Source organism: Homo sapiens, chromosome 22 (assembly GCF_000001405.40).
Source record: "Homo sapiens chromosome 22, GRCh38.p14 Primary Assembly".
Classification (NCBI taxonomy): domain Eukaryota; kingdom Metazoa; phylum Chordata; class Mammalia; order Primates; family Hominidae; genus Homo; species Homo sapiens.
In genome coordinates this window covers 41,850,369-41,875,157 of record NC_000022.11, presented here as the reverse complement: position 1 = coordinate 41,875,157, position 24,789 = coordinate 41,850,369, and the positions used below count along the sequence as shown (strand labels likewise).

Below are 24,789 nucleotides of genomic sequence, written 5' to 3'. Positions count from 1 at the left end.
CTCACTTTCCTCCTCATTAGCACAGAGATAATGAAAGCGCGTGAATCACAGGCTTGCAGCAGGGCTAAATGAGATAATGAGTGTAAAGGGCTTAGCCCTGAGCCTGGCAAATAGTTGACACTCAATAAATATTAGCTATTGTTCCCACTTCTTATAATAATCCTAGCACCATAACAAACTTTAACGAAAACAAATGAAAAAAACAACCACAGCATTGTTGGACAGTTATCTTTTTTTTTTTCTTTTTTCCAAGACAGAGTTTCACTCTTGTTGCCCAGGATGGAGTGCAATGGCGCGATCTCAGATCACTGCAACCTCTGCCTCCCAGGTTCAAACAATTCTCCTGCCTCAGCCTTCCAAGTAGCTGGGATTACAGGCACCTGCCAGCACGCCCGGCTAATTTTTTGTATTTTTAGTAGAGACGGGGTTTCACCATGTTGGCCAGGCTGGTCTTGAACTCCTGGCCTCGTGATCCACCCGCCTCAGCCTCCCAAAGTGCTGGGATTACAGGCGTAAGCCACAGTGCCTAGCCTGGACAGTTATCTTAAGGCATAGATTTTTACTTAGGATGTACAGCTTTCAGATTTGTAGGCAAGGAAAATGAAATTTTCTTTCAAAATAGGGTTTAAACATAGATAGGTTTTAAAAATAAAATCTCCTACTTTCTAGAAGACACATACACTGAAACACCAGAAACATTTGGAACATCAGTTTCCTCTATGTGTTGCTGGTCAAAGACTCAACCTCTTTTTTCTTTCTTTTCCTTAAAAGGTAACCCCTAAACACAGCTAAAACTATGCCATCAGCTGACTCCAAGGTACACACAGTCCTGTATCTGGAACTACTGAGTGGCAGGCATCTTTCTCTGCCTCTGACAGTGGAGTCCCCATCACTGCAGAGCATAGCCAAAGGAGTCAAAGGTCTCAGCGGGTCACTGCCTTATCAACCCTCACCAGTCCCTTATGTTTTTTAATATTTTATAATCTTGACATGACACCAAGATGCTTTAATAAAAAAGCACCTCTAACTCGGTCTTGTATTCACTTACCTTGAGCCTGGGACTTCTCTAGGCTCCTGAGGCAAAAACAGGTAGAGGGGAGATGGTGGAACATAAAACACAATTTTGCTTGGCACCCACCTTGGCGTCTGTCCCCATGACCAGGTCTTTCAATTCGATGATTTTGTCATTGATGGAGGAGCGATATCGTTTCTCAATGATATTATGGGTTGTCCGCCTTTCTCCTTCTTTGGGGGGCTCAAGCTGCTTGACTCCCCCAGGTACCTGCTTAATGGGCACTTTCTCTTGCCCCATCATTACAGGCATTGTGGTCAGAATGGTCCCACTGCTGCCCACCAGGGTCTAGAATAGGGACAGGTACACAGCAGAATGATCCCTTTGTTAGTCTGCATAAAGCAACCTCAACACAGACCTGCCCGCTTTGGCCAAGTGCTGCCAGACCTGGCAGTACTTCATGAGGTCTGAGACTCTTCCTGGGTTAATCAAATCAGGCCCCAAGAAGTCTCAGGAGCCACGGAACCTTGGTTACTACCTCCCTTCAAGAATCACTGCTGATAAACTACACCACAAGAGGATTAACATGGCTAAATATGTTTTAAGTTTTGATCTACGTATGCCAGAAACAAGTCATATGATTTCTGCTTTGCTGTCAAACTGTTAACCACTTCTAAAGTTGTACACGGTGAACCACGAGTTGGCACCAGAGAAAACTTTCTCCTAGTGTATGACACATTTTTTCCTCTCAAATGACAATTAAGCAAATTACTGCATTTCTTTATACAATTTTGCCATCAAAAAGCTCAAGGGCAGAAGTGACACTCTCAATAAGAGCCATTTGATTAAGTAAATAGGCCAACCATGGAGGTCTCCCCTTTTTATTCTTCATCTCTGTTTTCTCCTCTTATTTTTTCTAACTTTATTTTATTTTATTTTATTTTTTTTGAGACGGAGTTTCGCTCTTGTTGCCCAGGCTGGAATGCAATGGTGTGATCTCGGCTCACCACAAACTCTGCCTCCCAGCTTCAAGTGATTCTGCTGCCTCAGCCTCCCGAGTAGCTTGGATTACAGGCATGCGCCACCATGCCTGGCTAATTTTGTATTTTTAGTAGAGACGGGGTTTCTCCATGTTGGTCAGGCTGGTCTCAAACTGCTGACCTCAGGTGATCCACCCGCCTTGGCCTCCCAAAGTGCTGGGATTACAGGCGTGAGCCACCACGTCCTGTTTTTTTGTTTTTGTTTTTTTTTTTGAGACAAAGTCTCACTCTGTTGCCCAAAAGCTGGAGTGCAGTGGCGTGATCACAGCTTACTACAACCTGCACCCCCCTGGTTCAAGTGATTCTCCTGCCTCAGCCTCCTGAGTAGCTGGGAATACAGGCACCCACCACCACACCTGGCTCATTTTTGTATTTTTAGTAGAGATGGGATTTCATCATGTTGGCCAGGCTGATCTCAAACTACTGACCTCAGGTGATCTGCCCACCTCAGCCTCCCAAAATGCTGGGAATACAGGCGTGAGCCACTGGGCCTGGACCAATTTTAGTTTAATTTCTTAAATAATGGCCTCAATATCTAATCAGCCAATAAATAAATAAAAAGGTGCCCAATTTCATTAGTTGCCAATAAGTACGTCATGCACAATAAAAACCACAAATCTTAAGTTTATAGCTTGATGAATTTTACATATGTACACAATGTATATAACCACCCAGACCAAGATATAGCCCATTTCTACCAGCTCAGAAAGTCCCCGCATGCCCCTCCCCTCCTTGTCACCACCGCTCTGAATTCCAGCACCATAGCTTCATTTTGCCTCTTTTTAAACTTCATATAAATGGACTCATTAGCATGAACTCCTTTGGCTTGACACACTATTTCTTTTTTTTTTTTTTTGAGACGGAGATTTGCTCTGTCGCCCGGGCTGGAGTGCAGTGGCGCAATCTTGGCTCACTGCAAGCTCCACCTCCCAGGTTCACGACATTCTCCTACCTCGGCCTCCCGAGTAGCTAGGACTACAGGTGCCCGCCACCATGCCCGGCTAATTTTTTGTATTTTTAGCAGAGACGGGGTTTCACCATGGTAGCCAGGATGGTCTCGATCTCCTGACCTCATGATCTACCCACCTCGGCCTCCCAAAGTGCTGGGATTACAGGTGTGAGCCACTGCGCCCGGTGGCTTGACACACTATTTCTGAGGGACAGCCCCATGTTGTTTCATGCATCAGTAGCTTTTTTTTTTTTTTTTGAGAGTCAGTCTCGTTCTGTCATCCAGGCTGGAGTGCAGTGGTGCGATCTCGGCTCACTGCAGCTTCCACCTCTCAGGTTCAAGCAATTCTCCTGCCTCAGCCTCCTGAGTAGCTGGGATTACAGGCATGCACCATGCACCACCATACCCAGCTAATTTTTGTATTTTTAGTAGAAATGGGGTTTCACCGTGTTGGCCAGGCTGGTCTCAAACTCCTGACCTCAGGTGATCCACCCCTCTTGGCCTCCCAAAGTGCTGAGATTACAGGCGTGAGCCACCGTGCCTGTCAGCAGTTCTGTTTTTTAATTGCTAGGCATAATTTCATTGTATGAATATATCACAATGTGCTTATTTTCCTGTGGATGGACATTTGAGTTGCTTCCAGTTCTTGGATTTTATGAATAAAGCTAGTGCTTCTAAATTTTAATCACCATTTACTCTATCAGATTCTCATGCTATAGGATGCTGAAAGTGGCTAAGAACCTACAACTGAAGGATGGGGTACCTTCCATGTTCTTCACCTTGGAGCCCTTCCCTGCCTGGTGGCCCTAGGGTCCTTCAGAAGTCATCAGCAGGATCTAAGAGGTGAATGGTCTTGTGTGGAGCTATTAGCCAAGAATAGAGGGTCCTTCTGCTATTCTTTTCTACCTCCTTGTAGACTCCAGTACTCCCACATCGAACACACATTGCTAATACTTTTTCGAGCGAAAAACAACTAAGAGGGGTGACATTTACAATTTGACTGATTTGTGCTATAGACCCTCCCATACCTACTCAGCATATAGAGATTTAACATCTCTGAAGACTAACACCTCCAGGAATAAAGGGGGAGGGAGGAGGGTGGGGGAGAAGGCAGCTCTTACTGGTACTTGAAGGGCAGCCGTCTGGATAGGGGTGGTGAGGGCGGTGAGGGCCGGGTTCTGGACCGCAGCCATAACAGGGCTGCCATCTGTCTTCAGTGTGGTCAAAACAAGGGAATCTGTCTTGATGATCTGAGGCTGGACCAGGACCTGGATGAAGAAGGAAGAAAAGTAAAAGGATGATAGCATTATCCTTCTGTTATGCATTCCTTTCTTACTGCATAGACCTTCCAAGAAAGAATGAGAAATGATATAATTTTTATGAAATTGAGAATAAAAAAATGAACAGGAAATTTCATAGAGGCCATTTCAAAAGCCGGCTATTTTGTACAGCCTGAATACCGGGTTCAGGTGGAGAAAGAGGGGCTAGCTAATGAGGGTCCTGGCTTTTTTTTTTTTTTTTTTTTTTTGCTGAGACAGGGTTGCTCTCTGTTGCCCAGGCTGGAGTGCAGTGGTGCAATCTCAGCTCACTGCAGCCTTGACCTCCCGGGCTCAAGTGATCCTGCTGCCTCAGCCTCCTGAGTAGCTGGGACTACAGGTGTGTGCCACCATGCCTGGCTAATTGTTTGTATTTTTTTGTAGAGACAGGGTTTCACCATGTTGCCCAGGCTGGTCCTGAACTTTTGGGTTCAAGAAATCCACCTGCCTCAGCCTCCCAAAGTGCTGAGATTACAGGCGTGAGCCATGGTGCTCAGCCAGGTCATGGGTTTTTAGGTTGAAAGACTTTCAAGAGGGTGGTGCCAGTGGCCCAGCAGGAGCAGAGCAGAGATGGGTAGGGTGGATGGCAGAGAGGAGAGAAAAGACTCAGGAAAGCCAGACACATGGCTGAGAAGCAAAAATAATAAACCTGATTTTTTTAAGATAAATTGTTAGTAAGAAAATATAGGCCAGATGTGGTGGCTCATGCTTGTAATCCCAGCACTTTGGGAGACCAAGGCAGGTGGATCATGAGGTCAGGAGTTTGAGACCAGCCTAACCAACATGGTGAAACCCTGTCTCTACTAAAAATACAAAAATTAGCTGGGCGTGATGGCGCGTGCCTGGAATCCCAGCTACTCGGGAGGCCGAGGCAGGAGAATTGCTTGAACCCAGGAGGCTGAGGTTGCACAGTGAGCCGAGATCGTGCCACTGCACTCCAGCCTGGGCGACAGAGCAAGACTCTCAAAAAAAAAAAAAGAAAAAAGAGGATATAGTCCACGATGATATATAACATAAAGACGTTTTTTGTGATTATAAAAATAATACACGTCCCCCAGCTGGGCACAGTGGCTCCCACCTGTAGTCTCAGCACTTTGGGAGGCCGAGATCGATGCACTGTTTGAGGCCAGGAGTTCAAAACCAGCCTGGCCAACCTGGAGAAACCCCATCTCTACTAAAAATACAAAAAACTAGCCAGGTGCAGTGGCAGGTGCTTGTAATCCCAGCTACTTGGGAGGCTGAGGCAGGAGAATCGCTTGAACCTGGTAGGCGGGGGTTGCAGGGAGCCAAGATCACGCCACTGCACTCCAACCTGGGCAACAAGAGCAAAACTGTCTCCAAAAAAAAAAAATTAAAAAAAAGATTAATAATACATGCCCCCCCTCCCCCCAACCCAATATATGTTCAGGATCCACAGCAGAAAATATGGAGAACAGAAAACTATGAAAGCCAAGGGCAGTGGCTCACGTCTGTAATCCCAGCACTTTGGGAGGCCGAGGCGGGTGGATCACAAGGTCAGAAGTTCAAGCCAGCCTGGCCAACATCCCGTCTCTACTAAAAATATAAAAATTAGCCGGGTGTGGTGGCACATGCCTGTAGTCCCAGCTACTCGGGAGGCTGAAGCAGCAGAACTGCTTGAACCCGGGAGGCGGAGGTTATAGTGAGCTGAGACCACACCACTCCACTCCAGCTTGGGCAACAGAATGAGACTCCGTCTCAAAACAACAACAACAACAAAAAAACACAACACAAAACTATGAAAAAGAAAATTATCTGGGAAATACCAATTTAGCACATTTCTTTCCAGTTTTATGCCCATTACATGTGTACGTAAGTGACTGCACCAGCCTTTCCTGAGTGCCAGTGTCTATCTACAGATATGGACTCAGCCAGGTCACTATACGCTGCTCACAGGTGCATCCTGGCGCCCTACAAGCTGCTTTGTGTACACTCTGGTTGGTCCTTCTTAGTATGTAGACCACATCTTCAACCAAGGACCAGTTAACAGCCCCAACCAGTGCCTCCCTGAATCCTTTCCAGCCACTTACCGGGACCTGCTGCACCTGTGGCGCAGCAACTGTCTGCACCGTAGCCGGGGCAAGGGTCTGCAGCGTGCCATTGGCCGTTTGTGTCAGCACCCGCTGGGCCTGTACTGTCTGCACCTGCTGCTGAATGGTGACCGGCTGTACCTGGGAGGATGTCACCAGGCTTTGGACTTGAGGCTGAAGGACTTGGGAGAAGAGGAGAAAGAAGGCACAGAGATGAGGAATGCATTCTGTCACTGCAGCTGCAGCAGAAACCTGAGGATGGAGTATCTCATAATGATTCCAACTCCCCACCTACTGCTGAAGATGATGTGCACAGCCATTTACAAGGTGGCTTAGACAACAAGAACATCCCATAAGGGCTGCATCAATTTCTGAGGGAACGAGTACAAATTGTTTTATTACTCTGGGTGCCAGGGTGGGGGAAAGGGAAGCTAATCAGCAAATGACTGCACCCAGCAAGGGAGTTAACAGATGTTGAGAATCAACAACTCCCTGGGGCTTCATTTTCTTCCATCCTTTCTGGACGGCAAGTGCACTTTGGGAGGACTGTCTCAGCTTTTTGCCTTTACATTCCCCCACCTGTCCCAATTCTTGAACTCCATTGAAGAACTATAAGATTCTTTGAAATTCAAAGCAATACTAATCTTACCCTGGGCTCCCCACAGAGTCAGAGGGAAATATGATGAAAAGGCACTGGGATGCAGCACATCACAGAAAGAACAGGCCCCTTTCAGTCATCCATTCCCTCAACACATACTAAGGGCCCAGCATGAGGCTTGCTACTTGAAGCTGCTGCACCTATATTAAAAGTCATATTCATCACCATAGTGGATGCTCAGATGTTTGCTGAATGAATAGTTCTCAACTGTGGCAGCTGAGATCTGGCTGCCGCCTAGCCAATTTCAAGCCTTATTCAAGTCTCCACCACTAGTTATCAGAATGGCCCTGTGTCTACTATGCTTGCTGGATTTTTTTTTTTCTTTTTAAGATGGGAGTCTCGCTCTGTTGCCTAGGCTGGAGTGCAGTGGCACGATCTCTGCTCACTGCAAGCTCTGCCTCCCGGGTTCACGCCATTCTCCTGCCTCAGCCTCCCGAGTAGCTGGGACTACAGGCGCCCGCCACCATGCCCGGCTAATTTTTTCTATTTTTTAGTAGAGATGGGGTTTCACTGAGTTAGCCAGGATGGTCTCAATCTCCTGACCTCGTGATCCGCCCGCCTTGGCCTCCCAAAGTGCTGGGATTACAGGCGTGAGCCACCGCGCCCGGCCGCTTGCTGGATTTTTTAACCAAGTATTTTTGAATTAGGCGCAATAGATATTAAGGTATTTGAAGCTGCAGAATGTGACATGCTCCTGTACCAGTTCTTATTGCCAGTTACCAGAACCTCATTCAGACAGGACCATATTGATATACCTGCCATTCCTGAAGACGACAGAAATATTTACAGTGTCTGCAAACTGGCACATAAACATTGGAACCAACCAACCACTACCATTCTAACTTCTGAATCACCTTGAAAGCTAGTAGCTGCATTCTGGTATATCAAAGGCTGCTGGATGATCCTCGTCTGCGGAGTGGTGCTGAATGTTGGCGTGATCATTACCGTCTGTTGTTGCAGCTGAGTTTGAGGTTGAGGCTGGGGCTGGGGGCGGGGCTGAAGAATAGGAGTTGCCCTGGGTGTGGTGGGAACTGAGGTGGGAGAAACCTTGACTTGCAGAGTTGGAGCCTGTGGGGAGGCCGCCGAGGGAGAGAAGGAAGGTAATGTGACCTGGGTGAATGACCGTTGCACTGAAGGGTCCACAGCTCCGCTGCTGCTGCCCCTGCCATTGCTGCTGCTGCTGCTGCTGCCACTGCTGCCGCTGCTGCTACCACTACCACCACTGCCAGGAAAGGAGCTACACAGCTGTTCTGAAAACAAGTCAGGGAACTCTCCCACTTGATTACTGACAAATTGCAGCATCTCTGTGAACAAAAGAAAAGGAGTAATTTTATTGCTATCCAAAAAGTGAACTTTCAAACTTGCTTAAGAAACTAAGGCATGAAAACTCAATGACTTTCCTAAGACCATGGCAGAAATGGGTCAGGAAACCCTTACCTCTTTCTTGTGGGGATCATCTGGGCCAAGATGGCTGCCCAAGGTCCCAGGACAACAGGACAGGACTTTATCTGTTTGATGTTCTTTTCCCTCCTCACACTCACCTCCAGGCCCTTTCTCTCATTTTCTTTCTTTTTTCTTTTTGAGACGGAGTCTTCCTCTATCGCCCACGCTGGATGGAGTGCAGTGGCGCGAACTTGTCTTACTTCAACCTCTGCCTCCTGGGTTCAAGCGATTCTCCCGCCTCAGCCTCCTGAGTAGCTGGGACTATAGGTGCACGGCACCATGCCCGGCTAATTTTTGTAATTTTAGTAGAGACAGGGTTTCACCATATTGATAGGTGGGTCTCGAACTCCTGACCTTAGGTGATCCACCCACCTCAGCCTCCCAAAGTGCTGGGATTACAGGTGTGAGCCACCGCACCCAGCCTCTCTCTTTTTCCTGATTGTTTTGATCATAAAAGGAACTACCTTTGTACTAGATGGGTGCTGTTCTGTCGAAGGTACCAAGGGTCCTTTTTTACAGCTGGAAACACTGAGGCAGCGAGTAGGGAGTCACTGTCCTAAGGCTGTGAGTATAGCGGTTTTGGCTTGTGAGGCCACCTCTAATCCTAGCACTGCAGACCCAAACTTGCTCTAACCTCTTTCCTCCTCACCACAGGGAGGCTCTAGGCCTCCTCTCCAAGCTGAGTAAAACCCTGGGCACTGTTGGTATTCTTGGAAACACTCAGGGACAACCAAGTTGATGGCCCCTAAGTCATGGAGCTTCAGGGATGCAAAGAATGGAAAAACCATATATGAAGTCCAGGAGAGGAAAGTAACTTGGCCAAGGTCACACAGCTTGTCAGGGTACAGCTAGGATTAGAACCAGTTCTCTGCCTCCCAGCTTTGTGTTCTTCTACCACAACACAGTGCAGGTATGTTGCCAGGCCAGGACACAGCAAGCCTGCCCCACCCTGAACTCCGTGCTTCCCAGGGCCCATGCTAGCCCTTGTCTGGTTGTGCCCCTTTTCTCTGGGCAAGGAGTCTTGGGTCCAAAGGGATTTGTCCACCTGGAGACCTCGCTTCCCTTTCTAGATCATGTTCCAAGTAGCTGGGACCCTTAAATTCCCAGCCCAAAGGGTCTCAAGCCTACTTCCAGGGCCTCTTCCCTGGTCAATCTTCCCAAAGGCTTTCCAAAACCCAACTTAACCCACAACTACCCCATCATCTCTCACGACTCCCTTCTTTTTCATATGACTGGTCCCTATAGAAGTCAGGAGCCTCAGCTTTGTCCCAGATAGTTTCAGACCTACAATTCTCTACATTGTCCATATTCTTTTCTCTTTTCTCTCTCCAATACGTTCCCAAGAAGCTACTGCTTGTTCTTGAACTATGGCCCCTCCTTTCCAAACCTTCAAGGCCATGTGATGCTCTGATTTAGACACCAAAACAACAAAAACCACCACACCACCACTATAAAAAAATAAAAGGAACCATCTCCATTCCCCCAAACCTCCACCAAGATGTCCTTCTCAGGTCTCTGATGCTGTGTGTGTGTGTGTGTGTGTGTTTTTTGGGGGATGTGGGGGCCTGGAGCCTGGGGTATATTTGTATATCTGACAAACAGAAAGCTGCTGAGACCGGTTGTGGTGGCTCATGCCTGTAATCCCAGTGCATTGTGAGGCCAAGGTGGGAGGGTCACTTGAGGTCAGGAGTTTGAGAACAGCCTGGGCAACACAGCGAGACTCTGTCTCTCTTTTTTTTGAGATAGGGTATTGCTCTGTCACCCAGGTTGGAGTGCAGTGTTGCAATTTCAGCTCACTGCAGCCTCCACCTCCCAGGCTCAAGCGATCCTTCCACATCAGCCTCCTGAGTAGCTGGGACCACAGGTGTGCGCCAACCATGCCCGGCTAATTTTTGTATTTTCTGTAGAGACGAGATTTCACCATGTTGCCCAGGCTGGTCTCAAACTCCTGAAAAGCAACCTCTCGGTTTGGCCTCCCAAAGTGCTGGGACTACAGGCATGAGCCAGGGCACCTAGCCAGATCCCTTCTCTGAACACAAAACAAACAAACAAAAAAACACAAAGATTTTTTGGGCCGGGCGCGGTGACTCACGCCTATAATCCCAGCACTTTGGGAGGCCAAGGCGTGCGGATCACAAGGTCAGGAGATCGAGACCATCCTGGCTAACACGGTGAAACCCCGTCTCTACTAAAAATACAAAAAATTAGCTGGGCGTGGTGGTGGGCGCCTGTAGTCCAAGCTACTCGGGAGGCTGAGTCAGGAGAATGGAGTGAACCCGGGAGGCAGAGCTTGCAGTGAGCAGAGATCGTGCCACTGCACTCCAGCCTGGGCAACAGAGCGAGACTCAGTCTCAAAAAAAAAAAAAAATATATATATATATACATATATATATATATTTTGATATTTTGTGTGTGTGTGTGTGTGTGTGTATATATATATATATATATATATATATATATATATATATGCTTGCAGAAGGATAGGAAAAATAAATCATAATTAAATGTAAATAGGCCAGGGGTGGTGGCTTATGCTTGTAATCCCAGCACTTTGGGAGGCCAAGGCAGGTGGATCACCTGAAGTCAGGAGTTCGAGACCAGCCTGACAAACATGGTGAAAACCCCTGTCTACTACAAAAATTAGCCAGGCATGGTGGTGGGTGCCTGTAATCCCAGCTACTCGGGAGGCTGAGGCAGGAGAATCGCTTGAACCCAGGAGGCAGAGGTTGCAGTAAGCCGAGATGACTGCGTCACTGTACTCCAGCCTAGGGAACAGAGCAAGACTCCGTCCCAAAAAATAAATAAATAAATAGATAGATAAATAAATAAATGTAAATAAATAAAGCTGCTGGGGCTTTCTAGTGTAGTCTCCATATGGGATAACTGGAGCTTTGCATTTCAATCTGGGCACCTTAAGTATTCAGTCAGTTAAACCTGCTGGGAAAAACAGCATCTCACCAGACTACATTCCTACATAGTGGTATTATTTACCAACATCTTGACACTAAGCTCTGTCCTCACTCAGCCTTGTGCGAGGGAGAAATGGGCAGATTGCTACAGATATTGCAGCTTGTACTAACCAATTCCAATTCCGTGACATGATTAAACTGAGAAATGTCCTCAAATTCAGTACATTTAAACAAAACATAATTTAGTGCTGACACACTCCAAGTACAAGATTATAAAATGCTTTAAGAAAATGACTAAGAGAAATCTAAGAATTTGTTGAACCTTTTAGAATTCCCCCAAAATCCCAACTCTGTAAGAAATCAATACAGAGGGCTGTAACACAGAGCCAGAAGAATATCACACACTGGCCGACAGTTTCCATCCATGGAAAGCTAAGGAGGGCAGAAGGCCAGGGTGGCCTCATAGATGCGCACAGGCTTTGGTGGTAGTCAGGCCTAGGTGTGAGTCTCTGGAGGCCCACCTAATCAGTGGTGTGAGCGTGGGCAAGATACTTCTCTTTAAGCCTTGGTTTCCTCACTACAAAAGGCTGCTTTGAAAATACACACTTGGCCTCTTTGCCCTGAGGATTAATAAGATAATTTATCCGAAGTGCTTGGTGAAGGGTAGACCCTTATGCAGGTCAATGTTGGCGGTACTTCCAGAGCACCCACTACACAGGCATGTGGGTGCACTGATCTCATTTTGTCAAGTACTCTTGAAACCCTTTTGTGGGAAAGATATGGGCTGGTGTGGTGAAGTAACCTACACAGGTCAGAAAGCTTAGTTCACGAAGCGTAAGAGTGTGTAGGCAGATGGAATGAGACTACTTAAATTAAAATAAAAAAGTCCCTTTCAACCCACACACAAAAAGCTCCAGTGGAGCCATCTCCAGTCAGCCGGGCAGCCGGGTACTGGGCTGAGTGGCACAGAGGGGCTGTTAAGATGAACATCTGCAGAAAGGAGTGATGGGAAGCTCCAGAAGGGCACGCAGAGCCTCTCCAGGACCCCATCTGGTCTGCGGTGCCAGGAAAGAGGAGGCCTGGAGAACCAGGGTGTAGTTGTGCTTTGTAACTGTGAGCTACACCCATGGGAATGTCCTAATGGCTCCTCACTGTTCCCTGCTCTGATCATTCACATTCTGTGATTACACAGGCTGTCATTTCCACAGAGAGCCATGAAACTCAGAAAAGGGAGGCCCGGGAGAAGGCGAGTTTTATGGAGCTTTGAAAATGAAGCTCCAGTTCCTACGGCAGGCCACAAAGCTCAGGGCCAGAGACAGGCCTCCCACGAGCTAGGCTGGCACGCTCAAGCTCATCTCACTCCCCTGCTCCTGTTTTTAGCTGCTTTGTAAACTTATAGCTAAGTTGCTTAACAAAGTAGGTGAGGCCCCAGGAAACTGTATCTGGGTTCTGGTCTCTAAAAGCAAATAACCAAAATTAGAGGTTCCTGTTATCATCCGTGCATTGCAAGCAGCCCCATGACTCACAAAGAGACCCTGAGTTCACATGAACTTTATGGAGCTTGTGGCTTGGAGGTAACATAAATATCACTTTGCTCAGCTCAGCCTTCAGCATCTACCTGAGAATGAGGTAACCTGAAATCTGGTTAAATTAATTCTGGTCAAGAATAAAGAATGTGAAGCCTCCAAATAGGGTTACAGTTTCTCCAAATTACAGATTCAGTCAATAATCCTTTAACAGGTATTTGTTACCCAGCCCTATTAGGGGCTGGGAAACCTAGTTTACAAAGGTCATTTATTCTTATATTTTGTATTTATTATGCACCTTGTGTTAGACAATGTTTTTAATAATTTTTTTTTTTTTTGAGACAAAGTCTCGCTCTGTTGCCCAGGCGTGCAGTGGTGCAATCTCGGCTCACTGCAACCTCCACCTCCTGGGTTCAAGTGATTCTTCTGCCTCAGCCTCCCAAGTAGCTGGGGCTACAGGCACACACCACCACGCCCTGCTAATTTTTGTATTTTTAGTAGAGACAGGGTTTCACCATGTTGGCCAGGCTGGTCTCGAACTCCTGACCTCAGATGATCCGCCTACCTCGGCCTCTCAAAGTGCTAGGATTACAGGTGTGAGCCACTGCGCCTGGCCCTGTTTTTAATAATTTGTTAAAATCATAAAAGTAATATATTCACTAAAGAAAAATTTAGAAAGCATATAAATGAAAAGAACAAAAATAAAAATCATCCAGCAGTTCCACTATTCTTGAGTCATCCATTGTCAATTTTTTTTTTTTTAAATGGAGTCTTACTCAGTTGCCCAGGCTAGAGTGCAGTGGCATGATCTTGGCTCACCACAACCTCCACATCCCAGGTTCAAGCAATTCTCCTGCCTCAGCCTCCCGGTGTAATCCCACTGAGTAGGTGGGATTACAGGTGCGTGCCACCATGCCCAGCTAATTTTTGTATTTTTAGTAGAGAGGGGGTTTCACCACAATGGACAGGCTCGTCTCGAACTGCTGACCTTGTGATCCACCTGCCTCGGCCTCCCAAAGTGCTGGGATTACAGGCGTGAGCCACAGCGCCCGGCCCATTGTCAATGTTTTAATGTGTGCCCTTCCAGATTTCTTCCTCTACAAGGCTTGCTTGCACACTTAAGCATGCACATGCATGCAAATTGTTTTACAAAAATGAGATCACACTGAACATGCTACTTTGCACCCTGTTCCCTTTGGTTAATAAATATGAAGAACATTCAGTGTCAACCATTACAGACGTAACATCATCCTTTTCAGAGTCCCACGGTATCATTCTGTGTGCCATTGTACTGTACCAGTGTATTAAAATTTGTTTAACTTAATGATGAAAAATTGCTTTAAATTTTTCAGCCTTATCTTTTTTTTTTATTTTTTTGAGACAGGGTCTTGCTCTCTTGCCCAGGCTGGAAGGCAGTGGTGGGGCTCAATGCAGCCTCTACCTCCTGTGCTTAAGCAATCCTCCCACCTCAGACTCCTGAGTAGCTGGGACTACAAGCATGCATCACCAAACCTGGCTAACTTTAAAGAAATCTTTTTTTTGTGGAGACAGAGTCTCCCTATGTTGTCTAAGCTGGTCTCAAACTCCTGGGCTCAAGCGATCCTCTTGACTTGGCCTCCCAAAGTGCTGGGATTACAGGCGTGTGCCACCACACCCAGCAAGTTATTCGGCATTATTAACAACTCTTTTGTTCCCCCACTTCTCTATTTTCTTAGGATAAATTCCTAGAAGTTAGATGGCTGGGTCAAAGGACCACTATACATGCTTTGGAAAGGTTTCAAAAATCTATGCTCCTGCTAGTGTTTCCTCACAGCCATTTCTGTCAATCTGATAGTGGAAAAAACCAACATGGAATTGTTTTGTCTTGCATGACTGAGTACTAACTGAGGCTGAAAGTCTTTTTTTTTTCTAAAGTCCCAATTTTATTGAGCATTTGCATTTCTTCCTTTGTAAACCGCCTGCTCTTGACCTTCGTCCATTTTTGCTATCAGGCTATTTTGTCTTTTTTTTTTTTTCACTGATTTAAAAAACTTCCAGATATTATAGATACTTATTCTTCTTAAATGTCTGCAAGTACTTCCCCCACTTTGTTATTTCTCTTTTAATATGTTCAGAAAAAAAGAATGACATAGCAATTAAGAATCACCATGTCGGCCTGGCGCGGTGGCTCACACCTGTAATCCCAGCACTTTGGGAGGCCGAGGCGGGCGGATCATGAGGTCAGGAGATCGAGACCATCCTGGCTAACACGGTGAAACCCCGTCTCTACTAAAAATATAAAAAATTAGCTGGGCGTGGTGGCGGGCGCCTGTAGTCCCAGCTACTTGGGCGGTTGAGGCAGGAGAATGGCGAGAACCTGGGAGGCGGAGCTTGCACCGAGATTGCGCCACTGCACTCCAGCCTGGGTGACAGAGCGAGACTCCGTCTCAAAAAAAAAAAAAAAAAAAAAAAAAAAAAGAATCACCATATCCTAGCCTTGGAACCTGGGGCAAGTTTTACCTCTTTCAGCTGCAGTTTTTCTCAACTGTACATTGTGGCTAACAATTACAGCTAACTCACGGATTGATGAGATAACTCATGTGGAATCTATGGCACCATGCCTGGCACTTAGTATTAGCTAGTACACATTATTCATAGTGGGTTTTTTTTTTTTGACACTTTTGCTTTAACTCTTACTTTGAAAATGTGAATTTGTTCAAATGCATCAGATACATCCAGAAACAATCTGAGCATAATATAAATTTTGCATTTGCTTATGCATGAGAAAAACACTAGGAAGTGCAGAAAACCATATTCGGCTGAAATGAGCCATGCAGGAATGCACAAAATGTGCACACACATACACAGGCACCTTAAACATCTACCAGCTTCATCAGGTCACTGCATGTGTTATGAATCACATTCATCACATTGATGTCAGAACTTTCCATTGGACTTCAGACAGCCCTCCTTCCACCACTTCCTGATAACTCCCAAGCTGTAACCTAATGACACTTACTTCCCACAAGCAAACCTCAGGTGTTTTTCAAGCCAAAGTGCCTTTTCATTGTGGTATTTATATATTTCTTAGTTTTTCTGGTCTATAAAACTGTGTGACTGTTTTATTAGGTCCCCCCACTTTTTTTTTTTTTTTTGAGACGGAGTCTTGCTCTGTCGCCCAGGCTGGAGTGCAGTGGCGGGATCTCGGCTCACTGCAACCTCCACCTCCTGGGTTCAAGCACTTCTCCTGCCTCAGCCTCCTGAGTAGCTGGGATTACAGGCGCCCGCCACCACGCCCAGTAGAGACGGGGTTTCACCATGTTGGTCAGGCTGGTCTCGAACCCCTGACCTCGTGATCCACCCGCCTCAGCCTTCCAAAGTGCTGGGATTACAGGTGTGAGCCACTGTGCCCGGCAGGTCCCTATCTTTTTTAAAAAATAAATCTTTTCCTTTTTTTGGTCACCTATGAGATTTTTTATTGTTGTGATCCTTAACCCTCCATTTCACAGTAAGTTCTGGGTTTCTGTTTTAGAGACAGGGTCTTACTCTGTCACCCAGGCTGGAGTGCAGTGATGTGATCATAGCTCACTGTGGCCTCTACCTCCTGGGCTTAAGGGATCCTCCACTGCAGCCTCTTGGGTAGCTGGGAGTACAGGCACACACCACCATGTCCAGATAATTTTTATTTTTTATTTGTAAGAGAGACTGGGTCTTGCTTTGTTGCCCAGGCTGGTCTTGAACTCCCTGCCTCATGCGATCCTCCCACCTTAGCCTCCTGATTACAAGCATGAGCCAACATGCCCACTCCGTGTTTTTTACTGCATGATTTCGCATGGCATGATTTTTAGAAATGCACATGATGAACTATAGCAGAACTGACTATACACCATTTTTACATTGTATAGTGAAATTACATGGCTTCTGTGTAACGCTTAAGAAAAACCCTCATCCTCAAGATCAGAGGAATAGTCACCTAAACTTTCTTCATTTGTACTTTTCGTTCATTTTATCTTTCATATTAGAGCTGCCCAACAAGTACAAGAACATGGAAATAATAATGGTGTGTGATGTGTGTAGGCCACTGAAAATGAGATGGACCACACCAGTGAGGGAGGTAAATGCAAAATCTAATTCCCAACAAGTATCCTGATTGAATGTACAGAACTGTTTCATCATAATGATCCTATCTCCCCACCCACAATGTTTTTTTCTAATAATTATTTAAAAAACCAAATGTAGACTAGTAACAAACCTGAAGATCAATATGAGATAACCATTTCTCCATTCTACTATTTGTGATCATCACTGCTTTCTCCAGGACCTAAAACATCAGTTACCCACACTCTAGTCACCCAGAGGAGCAGCTGAGGAACTGGGCTCTTTCAACCACATCCTTCAACTGAGAAGCCCTAAAATGCAAGCAATAATATAGGGAACAAAGGGAAGGTTTTAACAGGCAAACCGCTATCTAAAAATCACTCCACTCAAACACCAGGGGGCACATCAGAGCACAGGGACGGTATCATGTCCTTCAAGGGGTTTCTGGGTCACCTTCCTGCGAAGAGTCTGGAGGAGGTGTTGAATGACACAGGATGGCAAGCTGGTGACTCAAGCATCCTATATTTTAAGCAACAGATGAGTGAACTCTTTTACTGGCAAAGAAACCACAAAGAAAAATTGGGTGGAGAGGTGCGGATTCTCAAATGCTTGTTTTGTAATACACACAAAGGTGTCATATATTCCTTTGCATATACCGAATATTACATAATAAAATAAAACAATTCAGAATGAGAAGAAAAAGGAATCATGAAGGAAACCCAAAGGAATTCTCAAATGGTCTTCTGGTCTTCTCTGTCTAGTGCTCTCTCTCCCCGCCTCTCATGGCAGCCCTGGAGGGACTCAGCTCTGCAGGAAAAAGCAGTGGAAGTCCAGGCTTTTCTGGCCCACTATAGCAGGGGACCTGAGCCAGCTCTCATAGTTTGAACAGGAGAGGGATCTGCAGCTCCACTTTCCATTGCTCTTTCTTTTTCCTCCTGCCTTAAGTTCACTCAAGTCTCCTTCCTTAGCATCATGGATTTACCTCTTCACTCCCGTCCACACTCTGCCTTAATTTCAACCATAGCCTCCTACCCAGTGACGAACATCTTCTTTGAGTATCTTGTTCATCCAACAGCCTTTTAAATCAAATCAAATTCTTTTTTTTTTTTTTTTGAGACAGAGTCTTGCTCTGTTGCCCAGGCTGGAGTGCAGTGGCATGATCTCAGCTCACTGCAACTTCTGTCTCCCAGGTTCAAGCAACTCTCCTGTCTCAGCCTCCCATGTAGCCGGGATTACAGCCGCCTGCCACCACGCCCAGCTAATTTTTGTATTTTTAGTAGAGACTTCGTGTTGGCCAGGCTGGTCTTGAACTCCTGACCTTAGGTGATCCACCTGCCTCAGCCTCCCAAAGTGCTGGGATTATAGGCATAAGCCACCGTGCCCGGCCCTTAATCAAATCAAATTCTTTAACACAAGCTTCCAAGCTTCCTATGAACTGCTCCCTTCTGTTCCAAAGGTTTTCACTTCCCACCCACTTTAGTTCATCATCCACCCTGGAAAAGTACTCACTCCCTCTTCTGCACATGCCTTTGAGGGGTGGGGTAGGGCAATCTTTCTTTGAATGTAAGTGCCATGTCTTCTCTTTTCTACTTGTGACCACCCTCTTCCTTTCTCCAAACTCTGAATTTCACAATTCTACTTCAAAACTATTTAAAATTACTTTTACCAGGGACTCTTTTCCACCTCAGATGATCTAGTCATCTTTTAGTTCTTGAACTCAATTGTGATTTATTTTGTTAAAGAAAATTATTGGCCAGGTGTGGTGGCACATGCCTGTAATCCCAGCACTTTGAGAGGCTGAGGTGGCCAGATCGCTCAAGTTCAGGAGTTTGAGACCAGCTTGGGCAACATAGCGAGACTCCATCTCTACAAAAAATACAAACTTTAGCAGGGGGCATGGTGGCACGCACCTGTAGGCCCAGCTACTCGGCAGGCTGAGGTGGGAGGATTGCTTAAGCCTGGGAGGTGAAGGTTGCAGTGAGCAGAGTTTGTGCCACTGTACTCCAACCTGGGTGACAGACCAAGACCATGTCTCAAGAAAACAGGAAAGAAAAATTAACTAAAACTTGGAAATAAGACCAAAAAAAAACGTTATATGCCTCTTTAAAGTTATACTAAAATTCCAGTTACTCAGGAGGCTAAGGCAGGAGGATCACTTAAGGCCAGGAGTTTGAGGCTGCAGTGAGGCATGATCATGCTACTGCATTCCAGCCTGGACAAAATAGTGAGACCCCATCTCTCTAAAAAATAAAAAAACTTGGTCAGGCCTCGTGGCACATGCCTGTAGTCCCAGCTACTTGGGAGGCTGAGGTGGGAGGATCACTTGAGGCCAGAGTTCAAGGCTGCAGTGAGCCACGACTGTACCACTGTACTCAAGCCTGGAACAACAGAGCAAGACCCCTGACTCAAAAAAAAAAAAAAAAAGTTATACTACAGCACTGTCTAAGCTGCCTGCCTAAAAGTTATCTGATGCTCTATGGAACCATCACCTTGTTTGACTTTCTATTTACTACCGATTAAGGCTCCCATTCTGTAAAGTTAGATGTTAGCCTGCAGAAAATTGTTAAGTTAAAATCATTTCTGTCTGGTAGAAAAGAAAACCTTTAAGCTTTTGTTTTCATTGCACTGTAGGACATTAACTAGTTTTGCGTTTTTTTTGAGCCAGAGTCTCGCTCTGTCACCCAGGCTGGAGTGCAGTGGCACAATCTTGGCTCACTGCAACCTCCACTTCCCAGTTTCAATTCTCCCGCCTCAGTCTCCCAAGTAGCTGGGACTACAGGTGCCCGCCACCACACCCAGCTAATTTTTGTATTTTTAGTAGACGAAGTTTAATTTAACCATGTTGGCTAGGCTGGTCTTCAGCTCCTGACCTCAAGTGATCCACTCGCCTCAGTCTCCCAAAGTCCTGAGATTACAGGCATGAACCACGGAATCTGGCCCTAGTTTTGTATTTAAATTTGCAATCTTATTCCTGCATTCTTTTTTCTATGTAAATATCAGTTTCTTGCAGTCTCCTTTGATCCATTTGTCATCCTGTTATCTTCATTAACAATGTTAATAAATTTCTGACATGTGCTCATGATGTTTTAGTTCAAGGCTATGTTTTTAACTTTTAAAAAACTTTGCTATATTACACATAGTAAGTTTTTTTTTTTTTTTTAATGCTGCACATGCCTGTTGGTCCAGCTACACGGGAGGCTAAGATGGGAGGATCGCTTGAACCTAGGAATTCAAGGTCGGCCTAGGCAACAAAGTGAGACAAGGTCACTAAATAAATAAATTTTATTTTATTATTTTTTGAGACAGAGTCTCACTCTGTCGCCCAGGCTGGAGTGCAGTGGTGTGATCTCAGCTCACTGCAGCCTCTGGCTCCACCTCCGCCTCCCACGTTCAAGCAATTCTCAAGCCTCAGGCTCCTGAGTAGCTGGCATTACAGGCACGTACCACCAAACCCGGCTAATTTTTGTATTTTCAGTTGAGACCGGGTTTCACCATGTTGGCCAGGCTGGTCTTGAACTCCTGGCCTCAAGTGATCTGCCCGCCTCAGCCTCCCAAAGTGCTGGGATTATAGGAATGAGCCACCACCCCCGGATTCTAAATAAATAAATCTTAAAGATGTTTTTCTTATGTCTTGTGTTCTATGAGTGCATGGAGAAAATGTTCCTTTCCCTGTACCGCTTCAAGCACCAAGCATACTGGTATTAAAAAACAAAAGCCAGGCCGGGCATGGTGGTTCACCCCTGCAATCTCAGCACTTTGGGAGGCCGAGGCGGGTGGATCACCTGAGGTCAGGAGTTCGAGACTAGCCTGGCCAACATGGTGAAACCCCATCTCTACTAAAAATATAAAAATTATCTGAGTGTGGGGGTGGGTGCCTGTAATCCCAGCTACTCGGAAGGCTGAGGCAGTTATCACTTGAACCTGGGAGGCAGGGGTTGCAGTGAGTCGAGATCGCGCCACTGCACTCCAGCCTGGGTGGCAAGAGTGAAACGCCATCTCAAAACAAAAACAAAAACAAAAAAACACAAAACACAAAACAACAACAACAAAAAAACTGGCACTGACTCACTGAAATGCTCTCAATAGCAACTTTCATGCAACTTATAAAAATGGTGATCATGCTTTCTTCTTTTTTTTTTTTTTTTGAGATGGAGTCTCGCTCTGTCGCCCAGGATGGAGTGCAGTGGCGTGATCTCAGCTCACTGCAAGCTCCGCCTCCCGGGTTCACGCCATTCTCCTGCCTCAGCCTCCCGAGTAGCTGGGACTACAGGCGCCCGCCACCACGCCCAGCTAATTTTTTGTATTTTTAGTAGAGACGGGGTTTCACCGTGTTAGCCAGGATGGTCTTGATCTCCTGACCTTGTGATCCACCTGCCGCGGCCTCCCAAAGTGCTGGGATTACAGGCGTGAGCCACTGCACCTGACCGATCATGCTTTCTGAACCAGAAACTAGAAGGGATGTTTCACCTCATAATGGAATAAGATATTTTTAAAAGTTAGACTAGCCTGGAAAATCTGGACAGATCTATGTAATTTCTGCAAAGCTTTCACTTTTAGGGAGGTAAGTATGTAAATACAGAAGGATTTCAACGGGTTAAGCATCCACTGTGTACCAGGCACAGAGATAATAAATTAGTCCTTGACCTCAAAGAGTTAGTGAAAGGATCACAATATGGTTTGTGAAGATTGTCACAGCAGAGATGTGCATCTGCAAGACACCAAAGAGACACAGGGAACATGACAAAATCACAGAATCCAGCAAGTCAATAGTTCCCTGAAGGAGTTGGATTGAAGGCTGATCAGGATGCAAAGTACAGTCTAGGCCAGGGAACCTCAAGAGCCAAGGCAGGGAGACATGGAGCTGCATGATAGGTTGTTGAAGACAATGGGTGATGGGCAGGGCACCATACTGGGCAAGTTGTTAGGGGCCAAAGCACAAAGGGCCCTACAACTCATGGTGGTGAAATGAAAAAATGAAGGAGAACTCATAGCAAGTTGTCCCACAATGCTCTAAGAAGGAGAGCTCCTCCAGCCCAGCAGTTGCTCATTCTGGTTTACATGGGGTTGAGGAGGCAGAGGCTGCTGTCCTGCCTAGAACTCCAAAATATCATGAACTAATTAAGAATCACTGGCCGGGCACAGTGGCTCATGCCTGTAATCCCAGCACTTTGGGACGCCAAGGCGGGTGGATCACTTGAGGTCAGGAGTTCGAGACAAGCCTGGCCAACATGGTGAAACCCCGTCTCTACTAAAAATAAAAAAATTAGCTGGGCATGGTGGCACATGCCTGCAGCTACTTGGGAGGCTGAGGCAGAAGAATCACCTGAACCCAGGAGGTGGAGGGTGCAGTGAGCTGAGACTGTGCCACTGCACTCCAGCCTAGGCAAAAAGAGCAAAAAGAGCAAAACTCCATCTACCACAAAAAAAAAAAAAAAAAAAAAAAAAAAAAAATCATTCTGAGAGTATGAGAATGGCTGGAATAAAAAGTCAGTCAGATAACTTCATCAATTGATGAAGAAGCTGAGAATTTTCTGAAAACTGGTTAAATAAGAGTTTTGGTTATAAATATGGCCCAAAAAGTGACCAAAACTGGGAAACAGGTCATCTCCCATGGCCTGTAGGGTTCAGGGTTTCAGATGAAAGTCAGGAGAGGAAAAAACAAAAAAATAAAAAAAGAGTGACAAGGGATCAGATTTAAGGAGAAAGGCAAGATGTCAAAAAGCTAAACCAAGGCCCGTTTTGCAAGGCCAAACTGAATGGAGATGTCACGATTAAATTCAAAGAGAAGTGGCTGTGACTCCAATAATGTAATCACTGTGCTATCTTTGAAAAATTAATTAATTTCCTTGAGACTCAGTTACTTAATTGTAAATATGGGAATAATCCAAACTGATGGATATATATCAATACACAGAAAAATACATCAAGCACATAATAAAATGTATTTAATTTTTTCACTTTTTTTTTCTGGTTTTTTCCTTCCTCCCTCCCTGCCTCCCTCCCTCCTTCACTCCCAGGCCAGGTCCCCATAGGTTTGCCTTTTGTTTGTTTGTTTGTTTGAGATGGAGTCTCTCTCTATCGCCCAGGCTGGAGTGCAGTGGCACAATCTCTGCTCACTGCAAGCTCCACCTCCCGGGTTCACACCATTCTCCTGCCTCAGCCTCCCAAGTAGCTGAGACTACAGGCATCCGCTACCATGCCCGGCTAATTTTTCGTATTTTTTAGTAGAGACGGGGTTTCACCGTGTTAGCCAGGATGGTCTTGATCTCCTGACCTTGTGATCCACCCCCCTTGGCCCCACAAAGTGCTGGGATTACAGGCGTGAGCCACCGCGCCCGGCCGCTTTGTTTTTTTTTTAAAGTGTCTTTAGAAGCAAGGCCTTATTGGCTGGGTGCGGTGGCTCATGCCTGTAATACCAGCACTTTGGGAGGCCGAGGCGGGTGGATCACCTGCAGTCAGGAGTTCAAGATCAGCCTGGCCAACAGGGTGAAACCCTCTCTCTACTTAAAATACAAAAAATCAGCTGGGCGTGGTGGTACGCACCTGTAATCCCAGCTACTTGGAAGGCTGAGGCAGGAGAATCGCTTGAACCCGGGAGGTGGAGGTTGCAGTGAGGCGAGATCGCGCCATTGCACTCCAGACTGGGGGACAAGAGCAAGACTTCATCTCAAAAAAACAAACAAACAAACAAAAAGACTAAAAGAAGCAGGGCCTTACTATGTTGCCCAGGAGAGTCTCAAATTCCTGGACTCAAGTGATCCTCCTGCCTCAGGCTCCCAAGCAGCCCAGACCATGCCGACTTTCCATAGTTTTTTTTTTTAAACATAAATTTAAAAAGGGGAAAATCCCCAGGTTAGATTCCAATTAAACCTTTGAATAAAAGCCAGTGGTTGCACTATTGATATTTAAGAACAAAACCAATGAAGTGACAAAGCTAATAAACTTATTTTCTGGGTAGAAAGCATATTTATATTTTATTTACAGAATAAATATTACCAGTACAGAAGGTAATATTACTGAAATTAAATTCATTCATGTCCTCCATGAGGACAACATAAAAGTAGCTACCACTGATACCCACTTAGTACGTTATATCAACCCTGAGACCAATATTATTATGTTTTAAAAGTGAGGAAACTGGCCGGGCTTGGTGGCTCACGCCTGTAATCCCAGCACTTTGGGAGGCCGAGGTGGGCGGATCACTTGAGGTCAGGAGTTCAAGACCAGCCTGGCCAACATGGTGAAACCCCATCTCTACCAAAAATACAAAAATTAGCTGGGCGTGGTGGTGGGCACCTGTAATCCGAGCTACTCGGGAGGCTGAGGCAGGAGAATCACTTGAACCCTGGAGGCAGAGGTTGCAGTGAGCCAAGATCTCTCCACTGTACTCCAGCCCAGGGGACAGAGGCTATCTCAAAAAAAACAAAAAGAAAGAAAAAAGTGAGGAATCTAAGATTCAAAGAAATTAGATAATTTGCCAAAGCCCCCTACATAAGCTACAAAGTGGCTGAACTGAGATTTGAATTTATATCTATATTTAGGTTTGTCTGAGTCTCTCCTCTACCCACACTTTTTTCCCCTTACAAAATAAACATTTCTTGGATTTTACATTTATGCTCATCACAACTTGGGGAAAAGCTGTAAGACAGACTCGGAGTGACAACAAAGGAGATTTGGGGCTGTGTGGAGGGGCACTTAGGTAATCATGTCATTACTTTTTTTTTTTTTTTGAGATGGAGTCTCGCTCTGTTGCCAGGCTGGAGTGCAGTGGCACCATCTCGGCTCACTGCAGCCTCCGCCTCCCTGGTTCT

General features: G+C 45.8%; 1 protein-coding gene across 7 annotated transcripts in view, besides 2 other annotated features; it reads right to left on the bottom strand.

Annotated features, from left to right (window-relative positions):
* Window positions 1-24,789, bottom strand: part of SREBF2 (sterol regulatory element binding transcription factor 2) — a 74,201-nt gene that overhangs the window by 32,148 nt on the left and 17,264 nt on the right. For all 7 annotated transcript variants that reach the window (NR_103834.2, XR_001755276.3, XR_001755277.3 and 4 more), the window contains exons 2-5: window positions 7,878-8,327; window positions 6,366-6,547; window positions 4,123-4,269; window positions 1,139-1,360 (exon numbers count right to left, since the gene is read on the bottom strand). Coding sequence is in view for 4 of the 7 variants with exons in the window: in NM_004599.4 (NP_004590.2) it covers window positions 1,139-1,360; window positions 4,123-4,269; window positions 6,366-6,547; window positions 7,878-8,327 (1,001 nt within the window). In the remaining 3 variants the exon portion in view is untranslated. The remainder of the gene's footprint in view (window positions 1-1,138; window positions 1,361-4,122; window positions 4,270-6,365; window positions 6,548-7,877; window positions 8,328-24,789) is intronic.
* Window positions 3,115-3,194: a silencer, noted in NCBI's record as "silent region_13801". NCBI's record gives its function as "represses an Ori minimal core promoter by ATAC-STARR-seq in GM12878 lymphoblastoid cells {active_cell/tissue: GM12878}" and the evidence as "EXISTENCE:reporter gene assay evidence [ECO:0000049][PMID:35858748]".
* Window positions 12,007-12,507: an enhancer, noted in NCBI's record as "H3K27ac hESC enhancer chr22:42258655-42259155 (GRCh37/hg19 assembly coordinates)". NCBI's record gives its function as "activates a minimal SCP1, AML or CMV promoter by ChIP-STARR-seq in primed H9 embryonic stem cells {active_cell/tissue: H9 hESC(primed)}" and the evidence as "EXISTENCE:reporter gene assay evidence [ECO:0000049][PMID:30033119]".